The sequence below is a fragment of the Homo sapiens genome, chromosome 10, assembly GCF_000001405.40.
Source record: "Homo sapiens chromosome 10, GRCh38.p14 Primary Assembly".
NCBI classification, from domain to species: domain Eukaryota; kingdom Metazoa; phylum Chordata; class Mammalia; order Primates; family Hominidae; genus Homo; species Homo sapiens.
In genome coordinates, this window is record NC_000010.11 from 31,856,413 (window position 1) to 31,873,441 (window position 17,029).

The window sequence follows — 17,029 nt, forward strand, 5'->3', positions numbered from 1 at the left end:
AGCTGGAAACGCCAAAGAATTATACCCACAAATTATGGGTGAACCATTAACAAATTTTGCTCCTTTATTCCACACTAGGAACATCATAGAAATTTACCCCAATAATTGGGGAAAATAAGGGGACTTTCTAGCCACAAGAGTCTTCATGAAATCCAAATTACTATTAATACTACCTGGGTGGCTTGTAAAAACTAAAGCTAAAGATGTACTTTTAAATATTCATAGTTTCTCTAGGCATCCGTCAGAAGAGACTCACCTCTGAAGGAACCCACCTTCAACCCCAGCAGTAAAGACTTCCTATTTATGAATTTCCAAGAACTATAACCTCACATTAAAACAGATACACTCTCAAAACACCCTGAGTAAGAGTCAGCAGAAAAACAGTATAATCAGACTCTCTAAAACTTTATACATAGAAACTAACAAAAAATAGAAAACAACACTAGAGATACAACAAATAAATGCAACATATAGTCTTCACTGGATCCTTCACTGCAGGAAAAAAAACTATAAAGAATATTACTTGACAACTGAGAAACAATGAATATTAGCCATGTATGAAATAACATACTAATATTATATGTCTTGGGTATGATAAATGTATTGTGGTTTTGCTGGAACATGTCCTTATACTTAGGGAATAAAGCATTATCTGATTCAAATCATTCATCTGATTCAAATCATTCAAAATATTATCTGATTCAAATCATTCATACGCACACGTGTGTATGTGTTTGGGCAGGTGAAGGGAGAGAAAGAAATAAAGCAAACGTGGCAAAATTTTAACCATTGGTAAATCTAGATGAATGATACATGGCATATAATGTTCACTTTACTGTTCTTTTAAATTTTTGAAGGTTTAAAACTTTTCAAAGTAGTGATATCGGGAAACTCCCCTAAACAAATAAAAAAAAATACTTTTTTACAATTCAAGGATTGACTTAACATCAAATGAAGGCATAGACAAAGGGAAAAATACCAAATAGAAGCTGGATCTTGAAATACTGAAAATGAGGCACAGAGAGACATGGATGAACAGCGTGAGGTTAAACATTCATCTAATCAAGGTTCTAGAATAAGAAGAAAGAGAATATGGGGGCGAGCCTATATTCAGATACAGCTAAGAATTTTCCAGAATTGATCAAAGACAGGACTCCTCAAATTCGGAAATCTCAACAAAGCCCTCGCAGAAAATAAAAAACCTTTACCCAGCTACATCACAGTAAAAATATAGACACATGATCTTTAAAGCTGCCAACAAAAAGAGACAAACTACACTTAAAGAAAAGACAATCAGATTGACATCTGAATTTTCAGCATCAACAATGGAAGCCGGAAAATATGAGAATAAAATCTTCAATGAACAAAGGAAAAACAAATAAGTAAACAGTCAGCTTAGAACTATATACCCATGTTCTTCAAAAGTAAAAGTAAAATAAATTTTCAGACAAAAACTAAGATTCTATTATTAACAGATCCTCATGAAGGAATTTAAAAGCATGTACTTATGGCTGGGCACAGTGGCTCATGCCTGTAATCCCAGCACTTCAGGAGGCCAAGGTGGGAGGATCATTTGAGCCCAGGAGTTCAAGACCAGCCTGGTCTACACAGTGATACCCCATAGCTACAAAAAATTAAAAAATTAGCCAGGCATGGTAGTTCATGCTTGTAGTCCCAGCTACCTGGGAGTCTGAAGCAGGAGGATGGCTGAGTGCAGGAGTTTGAGACTGCAGTGAGAGCTATGACCACAACACTGTACCCCAGCCTGGGCAACAGAGCAAAACCCTGTCTCCTGCCAAAAAAGGCTCATATTTATGACAGAAGAAGAAAATGTGAGAAAAGAAGGTGGTAAAAATCAGGATTAATTTTAAGAGTCATGTACAACAACAACAAAGGGGCTAAAAATTGAAATACAACATATGACAGCAGCAGCACAACAGCACACATAGATCCTATATGGCTTCAAGGAACAAGAAGACAGTGATTAACTTTACACTATGCATAGACTAACTACGCATGCTAAAGCTGGGCATGGTGGCCCATACTTGTAGTCCCAGCTACTGGGGAAGTTGAGGCAAAAGGGCTGCTTGAGCCCAGGAGTTTGAGCGTTGAGTCTATCCTGGGCAACATAACAAGATCCTGTCTCGGCGGCATCTCTGGCCTCTACCCACTAGAGATCAGTAGCACGTCTCCCATTGTGACAACCAAAACAAGTCTTCGGACTTTACCAAATGTCCCTGAAAGGCGAAATCAGCCCTACTACGAATGATTGTTCTAGGGTAACCACTAAAATAATAAGCTTCTGTGTTAAGACAGAAGAGCCAACAGTTGCTCCCTCTCAAACCCCACTAAAATCACAACAGCGAAATGTGCTTAAAATGATGTAAACCCACAACAACAGGGAGGACAACAGTCAAGCAGATGAACAAAAAACCTGAATTACCTACACGGAAGAAAGTAGAATCTAAACCAGTATGGTGCAGACAAAGGAGAGTAGGGGAAAATAAACCCGACAAGCTTACGGAACAGAATCTGCAACTGGCTCAGCAACTGACGGTATCAGGTATCTGTGAAACTGGGGAGTGAAAGCAGTGGTACTAAAATAAGGATTAAAAATGCCAGAATCTCCTTCTACATACCTGGCTGCTAGGTGTGCAGCCCATCCCTACCCCAGCAGACATATGGAGAGTTATTCCCTCTGAGAAGGGAAAAATACTAAGATTCTGAGTTGGGGGACAATAGACACAATAGGAACATGGGTACCAAGAGAAAGAAGGGAGACTGAGGGACCACATGCAAAATGAATGCCAACACCAAGACACAGACAGCCCTTACCGTGTATAGGCAAGAGACCTAAAGACATCTGTGGACATTCTAATTAGTCCAAAAGGAAAGACCTAATGGGTCTAACACTGGGGATTCCCCAAAGAGGGGCTGACCCAGATATCCATTAAAGTTCAAAATGCCTCACAATTGTGAGAGAAAATAATTTCCATCCTAGAATTCTATACCCAGGAATACTATCAATTAAATATGAGAGGAGAAGACAGATATTTTCATACACACATAGTTTCCATTTTACCTCCCATACACAACTTTTCTCAAGAAGTCGCTGGAAGATGTGCTCCAGCCACTTTGGAAATATTAATCTTCATATAATTTGTATAGAGACCAGTAATTGAGACCCTGTATACATAGTCACTCCCATCTATTTACTAAAATAGCTAAGAAACATGTTAAAAGTTCCTATGTATACTTCAAATTCTTTTAGTCTATAATTTAGTCTTTTTCCTAATTCTCTAAAATTGTTAAATTTTACTTTATTATTGATACACTGGATAGCTTATTTTCAAATCTTTCTAATGTACAATTCAAATAAAATTTTCCTTTTTTTTTTTTTGAGATAGAGTCTCACTCTGTTGCCCAGACTGGAGTGCAGTGGTGCAATCTCGGCTCACTGCAGTCTCCACCTCCCGGGTTCAAGCGATTCTCCTGCCTCTGCCTTCCAAGTAGCTGGGATTACAGGTGCCCGCCACCACGCCCGGCTAATTTAGAGACAGGGTTTCACCATGTTGTCCAGGCTGGTTTCGAACTCCTGACCTCAAGTGATCTGCCTCCCAAAGTGCTAGAATTACAGGCATGAGCCACTGCGTCCAGCCAAATTTTCCTTTCTTGTTATAGTTAAACATGAACAATTTTTCTATTTTTGCTCTCACTTGAACACTAAAAACACAAATTATTACCAAACTAAAGCTATAAATAAACCAACTGAAAAATGGGACAAGAAGGGAGTTATTAACTACAAAAAGCTTTTGGGAGTCTGCTAAATACAAGATGTGTTCCCTGATTTTTCTAGATCCTATCTACCTGAAGTTTGCTTTTATTTGTACGAGCTAGCTGCTTTCTATAACAGCCGGATGTCCTATGCAGGTGGAGGGACTCCAACCTACCAAATGGCAGGATTTCACTCTATTCTACCAATCCTACCAAGTTACTCCTGTACGTTTAAATAATCCCAAGGCCTCTTGCCAGACTACTGAGATAAGTGTTTCTAAAACACAGCTGGCCAATTTACTGCACCATCCTGCAAGAGGTATGGAGGAAGGTGAAACCAGAAGGAGAAAAAGAGTACAGACACTTGTTAGAGAAAATAATGATTTTAAAGTGAATTGTTAGACTTAACAGAATGATTCAATTGTAGCAAAGGAATTATAATTATTTCCCTCATATATAAATAAAACAATGGTCTTGTACCGCTGACTGACAAAGAGAAAAAATGGGAAGTAGTCTGGTAGCCATACTAAGCCAATAGAGAAATATATTATTTCTATTTATTTTGCTGGGTCACATCACATTTCTATTTTTTTCTAAAAAATGTCACTGGACAGCCAGGTGCAGTAGCTCACGCCTGTAATCCTAGCACTTTGGGAGGCTGAGACAGGGGGACTGCTTGAAGTCAGGCGGCAAGACCCCATCTCTACAAATAAAATTTTTAAAAATCAGCCAGTGACATGTGCCTGTAGTCCCAGCTACTAGTGAGGCTAAGGTGGGAGGATCGCTTAAGCCCAAGAGTTTGAGGCTACAGTGAGATATCATTGCACCAGGGCTCTCCAGCCTGGGCAACAGAGCTAGACTCCATCTCTTAAAAAACTGAATTAAATTTAACTTAAAATATCATCGGCTTGTGCAGTAACAACTGAAATAGTATGTTCTAAGACATAAGGGGGTGCACTGGCACTAGACAACTTAAACCCAGTTCTGGAACTAGTACGCACACAGGTTAGCAGCTGTCCATTAGTCAGAGATTAGGAAGTAGCTAGCATTAATATTTTAGTAAAGCTTGGAAAGAATTTTTAATGATCTTAGAGATCACGTGTTTTAACATGCTGACAGTAAGAAACAAAACTATTTACTTCTTTGGTTTCTGAATAATGAAAAGAGAAAATCTGGTAACTTGCAGTTGATTCCTTAATTACTCATACCTCTTGATCCCCTGGATTTTGGAAATCTCCTTTGCTGATGCTTGCATCCCGAGTCCAACGAGGAGGTTTCCAAGTTCTTTCCTGTGTCCCTCTGTTATAGTAATAGCAACGCCCTGAGCTGTCTTTATGAGTTTCCCATTCTCCATTAATCTGAATTGCCGGGCTCCCAGGAAGTGGGGGAAGAGCAGACTGGGATATTTTCAGTTCTTGAAGGTTAGCATAGACAGGAGAATCTGGCCTTCCTTGATTTGGAGGTGTGGTTGCCTGTGAAATAAACATTTTTAAATTTCATGTTTAAACTGGTATAACATTTAAGTCAAAATTAAATGAAACAGGAGATTTATAAACAATACTAACTCATTTTAAAACATATATACAGGTGAATATATTCTGAGGAAATAATAATTTAACAGTTTTAATATTCATAGTTTCATTGAAAAATAAATAAAAGCTTCAAACCAAATCCAAAGTATGCATAATACTTTCCTTTACCTGAAACAGTGTGATGGACAGCCAAGAGCTGTGGGTTCTAATTCAAGATCTGGCACTAACAAGTTGTATGATATTGGGTAACATCACTTTACTTCTTTGAAAGTGAAATTTTTTATCTCAAGAAATGAGGGAATTGGACTAAACCACCAAGGTCTTTTTTGGCTCTCAAATTCTATGATTTTAGGCAATACTTTAAAATATAAAAAGTTTTACATATGAGTAGCACAGCTTTTATTATGAAAATTATCAAAAGAAAGATTTCATATTCTAAGCTCTAACATTAAATCAGGAACATAAGTGAAACATAAAAGAGGAATAATACTTAAGCTAAGAATTTACTACATTCTATTCCTTCTCAGGTATAATTTCTCAGAGGCTATAAACAAATCATTTAATCTCTTCCTAGCTTCCTTATTTGTGAATTTCCTAACAGTAGAAAAGTAAGAATTAGTAGTAACTCTGATTTACATGTTTAATGTTTAGCTACAGCTTTATTTTTTATTTTTAAATATCTCACTAGATGTCAGTCAAGAGCAAGCTACTTCATACCCTTTGTATAAGGGCACTGTAAATTGTATTAGGTTACACAGAACTTCAGTTGCTGAAGAAAAAAAACACACGTCTGAGAACACCTGCTTATGTTATGTATTTGTATTTCTGTATATATTTTCCTTTTACAGCAAGATTTCTTAACCCTAGCACCACTGACATTTTGAGACACAAAGTTATTTGTTGTAAGGGCTATCCTCTGCACTGTGGGATGTTTATCAGCTTCCCTGACCTCTAACCACCAGATGACAGTGGCGCATGCACACACAGACACACACACACACACACACACACACACACACACACACACACACACGCCTCCGACGTGACAACTGAAAAGCCTCCAGACACTGATGAATGTCCCTTGGGGGCAAAACTGGCCCTAGTTGAGGAACCACTGCTTTTCCCTATAAATCCTAGAATTATATTCAGATGTTCAATTACTTCTGAAATGTAACTAGAGTTTCATGAATGCTTTAAAATACTGAATTTGAAAAGAATACTGAATGGAAACACTGAATCAGTTTTATTGAAATTAAAGTGCTTTAACTTCTAAAAATATTTGTCTATAATGTTTGTGAGTTTAAATCACAGAATAAGCTCTGTGAAAACAGTAAAAATAACCCAAACACAAATACATGTTTGTGAAATGGTCACTGTTGGTCTTCTTACACATGGTAGTTATACATGTACTATATTCAATGATGCAAATTCGACTATTTTCCTTAAAACGTTAGCTTCAAATTTATCACTAAACAACATCTTTCTATGAAGAAAATCTATCCATGGAGACAGATATCATTTCTCCTTCAGATTAATTCCATATCCTAGTGAATGTGTTTTCTCTGATGAAAATAAATTCTGTTAATATAAAAATTCTATATGGCAAATCATGTCTCAGAACCTAGAATATCTAGAGAATATTTATTCAACCAATATTAAAGAAGTTCTTACTTTGCTCCTGATATTTGACTAGAACTTGGGGAAATAAAGATGCTAAGAAACAGCCATTTTCTAAATGATGTTTATGAACAAACTCTACTAAATCTTCAAGAAACAATTCCTGTTGTTTAAACAGTTTAAATTTTTAAAGTTTTTCCAGCTAGAAAAACCTGAAGTGGCCTTCAGCACAATCTATAAGGCTAGCATAATTCTGAAACAAGAGCAGAGAAGAATTAAATAAAAGAACACTGTAACATATCTCACTTATAAATATGGAAGAAAATATCCTAAATAAAACATTAGAAATCTAGCACTACATTAAATGAAACAAGCACAGATATTAAGAAAGTCTGTCTTTAGGAAATCTCATATTGTAATTCTTTAGATTCATAGATAAACACGATCATCTCTACAGACACCAAGAAAGCATTTGATAAAATTCAACACAGATTCAGGATATAACTCTTAGCAAGATAGGAACAGGTGACACTTCCTTAATTTGACTTTTAAAAATTATTAGTATTTAAACATCACAATCAACAAGACAGATAAGTTCTTCCATTAAAGTCAAGATTAAAATTGAAGTATATTATGGTCTATAAGGTTAACATAATTTTGAAACAAGAGCAGGGAAGAATTAAATAGAAGAACACTGTAAACATATCTCACTTATAACTAACTGCCAAGTATAATTGCTCTACTCAACACTGTACTGGATTTGTGCTAAGATACAAAAAATGAATTAAACTCATAAAATACGTAAAAGAAAAAAGAAACTGTCATTTGTCATTGAAATAACCAACAGTTAAAAACCCAAATCCACAAAAACTACTAAAAGAGTTTCATGAATTGGCCAGATTTTTGATTATCTAGTCAGTTTCCCATACATAAGCAATGACAAATTAGAAAATATAACAACCAAAAAATCTCATTCATAATAGGAAAAAAACTAACACAAATAAGCCTTAAAAGAAATGTATAAAATCAAGTAAGAATATTTGTAAAACCTTCCTCAGGTACCTAAAATTAAACTTCAATAGATAAACCCTTGTTCCTAAATGGAAAATAAAACCAACTTCATAAACATGCTAATTCTCCAAAAATTAACCTATAGATTCCATAAATACAATGCAATATTTGGCATACAATATTCAGTACACTGCCCAGTACACAGGAGCACTTAATGTAATTTGTTGAATGAATAAACAAACTAATGACAAACACGAACAAAAGTATGCAAACATGTATCTCCTCCAAAAAAGGAAAATTAGGGATTTGGAACCAGTTAGATGTGATAAAGAGAGGAAACTAAGAAAACATCCACGCTTCTAGTTTTGAAAAAATGATGGACAGTTGTGTCCCTTTTTAAGATAGAAACTATTGACAAATGAATTGAGCATCATGTACTCAAGCTAGGTGATTAGGCTACAAATTATGAATTTAAAATCTCCTTGCCTTCCAGAACCTCGTAACATGGTAAAGGAAAGTGAAACATGATAATAATAGACACAATGCTAGAGCTACACATGGGACACTGTGGGAGCAAAAAGGAAGAGACCCGGAAACAAGTGACTAAGCCTTAGAAATAAATAAACAGGAGTTAGCCCGGTAAAAGTTGGGGAAACAGCAGGGAGGAAGAACAAAAGCTAGGAAAAACAGCATGGTACTTTCAGGGAATGATGCTGACATACTGAGTATGTAAAAGGAGCAGCAAGTGAAAGGCCTAAGGAAAAGCAAGTAACAGCACAGAGAGTTTGAAGGTCATGTTGCAAAGCAAACATCCAGAAGCATTTAGGAAACTACTGAAGATTAAGCCAGGAAGTGCATTCTGATTTAAATTTTTAAAATATTACAGATTTTAGAGAGACGCAACTAGGAGGTTGGTACAGTAGTACAGACAGAAGATGAAGAGAGCTGCAATAGGACAAGACAGTAGGAATGCAGAAGCAGGGACAGATTCAAGAAACAATCAGAAGGTTAAATTAACATACAGGTTGTATGTTTGCTTATGTGAAGTACAGTTTGTTTTACCGTGTGTGTAGTTTTACTACAGTTAATGTCAAGATGAAGAAAAGAATGGAAAGAGAAGGGCAAACAGGAGTTACATTTAGATTGCATTAGGTTGATAAGTCTTTTCAAAACCCAAGTGGAAATGGTAATAGATTGTTGGTTATATAAATTGGGAACTCAGTTCCCAATTTACAAAAATCAGGGCTGGCCAGGCGCGGCGACTCACGCCTGTAATCCCAGCACTTTGGGAGGCTGAAGCCGGTGGATCACGAGGTCAGGAAATCGAGATCATCCTGGCTAACATGCCGAAACCCCATCTCTACTAAAAATACAAAAAAAAATTAGCCCGGCGTGGTGGCGGGCGCCTGTAGTCCCAGCTACTCGGGAGGCTGAGGCAGGAGAATGGCGTGAACCCAGGAGGCAGAGCTTGCAGTGAGCCAAGACCGCGACGCTGCACTCCAGCCTGGGCGACTGAGCAAGACTCCGTCTCAAAAAAAAAAAAAAATCAGGGCTAAAAATATAGAAGTCATTAATATACACGTGGGGTCAATAACATATGAAAGCATACAGAGTAAGTGCAAGATGAAATGAGAACCCTGGAAAATACTAAGCTGTTGCTTTATGAATTAAAATGAGAACATAAGTTTAAAGTCAGCATATGATCTTGCATAGTGATTTCTATTGTTAGCATAATAATTATTATTGCAATTAACATAACTAAAGAACCAGACTAAGTGATGGAGGCAGAAAGGAAAGTTAGAAGTAGAAGGTCTACCAGGAAAGAATAGCATTTGAAAGTCAAGAAGGAAAATTTCAAAAGAAGGGAAACTAGACAGTATCAAATTCAAAGACTTCAATACAGGGACTCTGAAAGAATCACTCAATTCAGCAATTAAGAAGTTTTTAAAGACTTCAGCTACCAGCCATGAGGATCTGAAACTACTTTCCTGCCATAAACTAGAAAAGCGAGTAAAATACAGAAAACAAGTATTGTGAGGCATTGTACAACAATCAGCTGCAGACTGTAATCTTTGAGAGAAACAAACAAGGTGAATCCTACCACTCCCAAGCTTTGTGCCGGAAGTGGTTTGCAGGAATCAGCCCAGCAAGGGGAAATCCAGAGTCTAGCAATCTCGGTGAGTGAACAGGACAAACACTGGGAATAATACAAGAAATGGAAATAATTATAAACACCATACAATGAGAAGAGAAAAAGTTGAAGGAAATGCTCCCTTTTTTTTTTGGTCTCAAGAGTTTCGCTCTTGTTGCCCAGGCTGGAGTGTAATGGCACAATCTCGGATCACCACAACCTCTGCCTCCCTGTTTCAAGCGATTCTCCTGCCTCAGCCTCCTGAGTAGCTGGGATTATAGGCGTGAGCCACCATGCCCGGCTAATTTTATATTTTTTTAGTAGAGACAGGATTTCTCCATGTTGGGTCAGGCTGGTCTCAAACTCCTGACCTCAGGTGATCCACCCGCCTCGGCCTCCCAAAATGCTGGGATTAACAGGCGTGAGCCACCGTGCCCAGTCCCTAATTTTTAAAAATCAGGGAATCTAAAGTTGGATGGCATTCTTCAAAACCGATAAACCAAGAAACAGGTGGAATTATGTTTGAAATCTAGAGACTTAACAGTAATTCTAAGTAGAAGCACAGATAATTAGGTTTATTGACAATGAAAGGTAAAAAGTTAGTTTCTAGTAGAAATAAGAACCTTGTTTTCTTTTTTTTGTTTTTTTTTTTTTTGAGACGGAGTCTTGCCCTGTCACCCAGGTTGGAGTGCAATGGTGTGATTTCAGCTCACTGCAGCCTCCACCTCCTGAAGAACCTTGTTTTCTTAATGAATTAGTTCCATACTTAAAATCAGCTTAAATCCTCAATTTTCAAAGTGTATGAGAAAAGAATAGACGAGGACTCCGTATTTGTGAAATACTCTGATCTCTGGCAAAAAGAAAGTGCACATGTTTATTATTGCCTAAACCACTGAAAAATTCAAGGGAATTAACACTGATTGATTACCAACAATTTTCCTCAAGCTTGAAAATATAGGTTCTTGGCATAAAAAATACTTAGCATAAAATACCAAACTAATTTTTACATATGCACAAAATATATATTTAATTACAACAAGGGATGGTTAAGTAATAATGCACTGTCTTTTCTAGCGAACCAAAAATATGTTTTTTTAACAAATACACTCAATGCTGGTGAAGGTGGGATGTAACAACTCTAGTTTACTGCTGGTAACTTTAATCAGCAGAACCTTTTTGGAAAAGTTTGGCAGTATGTTTCAAGAGTTTTAAAAAAATATTTTTAGACCCTTGAACAAACGGAAGAAAATTCCTAAAGACACAAAAATCCCTAACAAAGATGTTCATTCCAGTGTTATTTATAAGAAATAAATCAGAAACAACCTAAACATTTAACAACAGAAAAATGGTTAAGCAAATCATGACTCAACAGATGAGGCAATACTAATACTAGCAGTGAAAATGCTATGAATGATTTCTGATTTAAAAAAAAAAAAATCTGGCCAGGCACAGTGGCTTACACCTGTAATCCCAGCACTTTAGTAGGAGGCCGAGGGCAGATCATCTGAGGTCAGGAGTTCAAGACCAGCCTGGCCAACATGGCGAAACCCCATCTCTACTAAAAATACAAAAATTAGCTGGGCGTGGTGGTGCACACGTAATCCCAGCTACTTGGGAGGCTGAGACAGGAGAATCACTTGAACCCTGGGGGCGGAGGATGCAATAAGCCAAGATGGCGCCAGTGCACTCCAGCCTGGGTGACAGAGCAAGACTCCATCTAAAAAAAAAAAATCTGCATGATCTGCCATCAGCAGGTCCAGGAAAAAAAAAAGTATAAGGGCAACTAAGAAAAGCAGAAAATAAAACAATACAATGAAATTCCAATTAAATTTTAAAGCATAAAGAAAAACTAAAACATTATCAGTTTTCTCTGGATATTAGTATTATATATGTTTTTTTCTATGTGATTTCCCAATTTTATTATAATGAGAATGATCACCTTTAGAGTTTGAGGGGACAAGGATGTGGGGCAGGATAGGCCCTTGTCTAGTCCACCAGACTTACAAAAGTGACAATAGTATTGACCCTATAGAAACTAGTGTTTTTTCACAGGAAGTCAATGGGTCATCAGAATCATCTGAGGTTGCTTATTAAAATTCTTGGGCCACATTCCAGAGTTACTGGGGGTGGCAAGTGGTGATAGTGGCTGGGGGTTAGTCAAGAATTTATATTTTAGGGCCAGGTGTGGTGACTTACACCTCTAATCCCAGCACCTTGGGAGGTTGAGGCGGGAAGATCACTTGAGCCCAGTAGTTCAAGACCAGCCTGGGCAACACCGAGACCCTGTCTCTATAAAAAATAATTAGCCAGGCAGGGTGGCACATGCCTGTGGTCCCTGCTACTTGGAAGGCTGAGGTGAGAGGATGACTTGAGCCCAGGAGGTCAAGGCTGCAGTGAGCCACTGCACTCTAGCCTGGGTTTCAGAGTAAGACCCTGTCTCAATAAATACATATTTTTAAGTACTCTATGTGATATTTATGTTCATTATTATTCAAAAGTCAGTGTACCTGAGTGCGCTTAGGGCAAACTAGCCTCTTCAGCCCAATACATTTGTATTACAAAAACATAAATACTGAAAGACAATTCTTAAGTCCATACCACCATTTGCTGTTACTCTGCAGATAAATCAGAGTTAAAATGAATAAGCAGTAAGATATAAGTACTTCCAATATATGAGTCAAATAAAAATCAGCTTTCTAACATTTATAAGAACCTTGTTCATGAATTGTCACCAACAAAAACAAATGGAATTTTCATACTTTAAAAAAAATAAAACAGGCCAGGCACCGTGGCTCATGCCTGTAATGCCAACACTTCAGGAAGCTGAAGCAGGAGGATCACCTGAGGTCAGAAATTCAAGAGTAGCCTGGCCAACATGCTGAAACCCTGTCTCCACTAAAAATGCAAATATTAGCCAGGTGTGGTGGTGGGCGCCTGTAATCCCAGTTACTTGGGAGGCTGAGGCAGGAGAATTGCGTGAACCTGGGAGGTGGAGGTTGCAGTGAGCCAAGACTACACCACTGCACTCCAGCCTGGGTAACAGAGCGAGACTCTGTCTCAAAAACAAACAAACAAACAAACAACAAAACACCACCCCCTCCCCCCTAAAAAAAACAAAGTTAATTTTATGGGTTATATCTGTCATTAATTAACAATTGAATTGGGACCAGTACCTCTGCACATGACCTAATTTCATATTTAAAAAAGACTTGGCCTGTTCTACTTTATCTATAGATAGACTAAAATAATCCTCCCATTATCCACTGAAAAGAAAAATTGGGGAACCATATATATAAGAAGGTAACTTTAAACTTAGATTCCTTCTGCATCGTTACTTTTTTTAATACCAAAAAATACTGAGATTTGTCCTCTTTTTACTTTTGACATTAGTTCAGAATTGCTTCTATAATAAACTTCTGAGAATGGCAGAATCCATACTAAGGAGCTACACCTCTTGCTTCTTAATCAGCACATGCTACTTAGTATTAATACCTGGGTATCTACCTTACTAAAAGTACAGAATTATATTTATATTGCTGAATAGTATAAATCCCTACAGCCTATAATCATACCTTTGATTTAGACTTATGGAAAAAAACATTTACCACAAATGTTTGGTAGCCTGACAGTATCAGGCTCTAAAGCTGAACTTATTTTTTTAAATCCTATTTTAAATCATATACAGAAAAAGACATTTATGTATTTTTGTAATTTAGCTGCTTAAACAAAGTCTCCTTTACCATAATTTCTGTCTTTTTTTTTTTTTTTTGAGATGGAATCTCGCTCTCATTGCCCAGGCTGGAGTGCAATGGTGCCATCTCAGCTCACTGCAACCTCCGCCTCCTGCGTTCAAGCAAATTCTCCTGCCTCAGCCTCCTGAGTAGCTGGGATTACAGGCATGCGCCACCCCACCCAGCTAATTTTGTATTTTTAGTAGAGACTGGGTTTCTCCATGTTGGCCAGGCTGGTCTCGAGCTCCCAACCTCAGATGATCCACCCGCCTCAGCCTCCCAAAGTGCTGGGATTCCAGGCTGAGCCACCGGACCCAGCCATAATTTTTATATAATAATAAATTGTGTAGTTATATAAATTATAACATTGGGCCAGTTAACAGAGTACAAAAAGCAAAAATTTGTCAATGGGACAATGCTCAGCTAAAACAGGACTAAAACTGGTTTTAGTTCACAAACGAATTTTGTTTAGTTTCACAACTAAAAATTACATGATCAATATTACCTGAAAAATATAACTTCCTAAAAGAAAGTCATTTAAAGCCAAATTTTAGGGGGAAAAACATATACCACCCTTTGTTTAACAATTTTGAAAACAAAAACTTACAAATTCTAATGTTCCTGTCTAAAGCGTGACTGCATTGAGATTTCAAGCTCTATAGAGTACACTGATATTTTCATGGTTTACTTACTTAACTAACATTTAAGTACTAATTATGAGCTAGGCAGTAGATGAAAATAGGACAGTCCCTGTCCTTGAGGAGCCAATAGCCTAGGAAAGAGGACAAAACTACTCTAATGACACAGCTAACTGCTGCAGAGAGAAGTGTACAGGATGCTCTAGAAGCACAGAAAAACTCAGCACTAAACAGGGATAGGAGGTGAGACACAGCATGCAGAAAAAGTTTCACAACAGATGTTTAACATGATCTTTAAAGGAAAATAGGCGCAAGTCAAGAGAGTAGTGAAGGGCACTTCAAGCACAAGCAACACTTTATTGTTCTTCGGATATAACACACAAATAAGGAAAACAACCTTTGAATAAGGAAACACTACTGATAACTAAGTGAATTCGTTATCATGGTATCTTTAATAGACATCAGTTTTCATGGTAAACACATAATTTGCCTTACTGATTTTTTTTCAGGTGATTTTCTAGTTATTGAAACTCAGAGGTGCTCTATTACTACAGGGTTGGTTACCTTACCTTGTATTCATATGCTAAGACTTAGCTGTCACCTTACGGCTTGCTTCTGTCCTCCCCCTCTCCTTTTATCACCTTGGCCAACAGCCTGAACAGTCTCTTCACCCTGTCACAGATCTGTCACCATTTCTCCCGCCTCCCCTGACAAAGACAATAATAAAGCAGGTACCAGGTAGAAAAGCTGTAATGTCTGACAAATGCTTGTTTCTAAAAAGCCATACACAAACATACTGATGAAGTCATCTCTCTGCTACTAACCCTCAATAACAGCTGCAAGCAGATTATTGCAGCAATCGTGCCATGCTATAAACTACAACCACTGGTAAAGACTATCTATCTGTATCTAGACGGTTGACAGAGAAGAGGTGACAGACACCACAGTGAAAAGGAATGAAGGAACTAATAGGAACCAGCACATAGAGAGTCATGGGAGTGCACAATTAGGAAGTTTATTACAGGCAAAAGATTTGCCAAAAAGGGAACAAATGACAAATTTCCCCTTCAAGATAGAGCCCACATCTCTCCAGTCTCCTTTTCTTTCATGCCCTCACGCTCATCCTTTCCTCAGCCTTACTTCTCTACAGCTCATCATAGTACTTACGACACTAAACTCTAATCCCAGATTTACTTGTCTGCCTTTCCTTCTAGAACTTCATTCTCTTTAAGGCAGAAACATTTGTCTTGTTTGTCTCTTCATCTTCAGAGCCTAGTATAGCACTTGCACAAATTGGCACTCAATAAGTTCCTGAGTGAAAATTATTTTTATATAACTAAATAATCTATCATGAAATCCACACACTAACTCCCTACTTCTGTTTTTATAGTCTCCTGGGAAATCGATTACCTAAACTCTATTGCTTCAATAAAACCAAAATCTCTCCCTCAAACACCCTCCTCTCCCCGAGCTACCGACATGTATTCTGAAAGACCTACCAGCATGGATATTCCACATATACCTCAAACTCACTACATCCTCTGCCTCAACCTTCTTCCATAACATACTACCCTATAGGAGTCACTAATTCAAATAATACTATCATAAACTCCTCAAGCAGCTATCTCTCAAAGTCATCTGTATCTCCTCTCTTTACCCCAACAAAGTACTACTAATTCTCTATCCTAATATATCTTGAATTTCTTCCTCTCTTATCCCAAGATAAACTGCCTTAGTCCATCTTTTGCTGAATAACTAAAATCACCCATGGGGTCTACTGCCCCCATTTCTTTGCCTCATCCAGTTGATCCTCCATGATACCACTAGTTTCTCTAAAAGCACATATCTGATATCGTTACTCATCTGCTTAAAAACATCAATGAAAATTTCATTAACTATAAGATAACTCCAAGGACCTTGAAAGAGAACTGTGGCTCTTAAGTACTCCAGTCCCAATCTTTTCTGCCTCATTTATTACCATTCTCCCTATATTATTTGTTCCAAAATTCCCATACTACTCATAATTCTATTATTAATGCATACCATTTTCCTCCCAGACCTTCAAATCTTTACTTTATCCTTCTGAGATAACCCGTTCCCAATCACCAAACCACACTCAAAACCATAAAGAACTGATTCAAACTCTTTGAAATGTTCCCCTGTTCCCCAAAGGCAGAATTCATGGGCTTCCTGTGCATCTAGAGCATCAGTATCTAACAGAAATATAACATGAGCCAGGTATGTAATTTTTTCTACTAGCTACATTAAAAGGGTTATAAAAAGAGAGATAAAATGAATTACAATAATATATTTAACACAATGTATCCAAAATATTATCACACCACCATATAATCAGCACGCAAATTACTGAGATAGTTTATATTTTTGGACTATCTTCAAAATCCAGTGTGTATTTTACAGTACATCTCAATTCAGGTCCTAAATTTTCATCAGAAATACTTTATCTATATTTCGATTTCTTAAAATGTACAGTTGAAAAAGTAGATTTATATATCCAAATTATTCCAAACATTCTCCAAAGTTTCCCAATAAATGAATCCAGCATCAGTTTTCATATTTAACTTATAATAAATA

At 37.3% G+C, this 17,029-nt stretch overlaps 1 protein-coding gene across 10 annotated transcripts in view; it reads right to left on the reverse strand.

The window, feature by feature from the left end:
• The window catches only part of ARHGAP12 (Rho GTPase activating protein 12), a 123,479-nt gene that overhangs the window by 51,015 nt on the left and 55,435 nt on the right, over nt 1–17,029 (reverse strand). For all 10 annotated transcript variants that reach the window (XM_017016954.3, XM_047426021.1, XM_011519761.3 and 7 more), the window contains one exon: nt 4,983–5,246. In XM_017016954.3, coding sequence (XP_016872443.1) covers nt 4,983–5,246 — 264 coding nt within the window. The remainder of the gene's footprint in view (nt 1–4,982; nt 5,247–17,029) is intronic.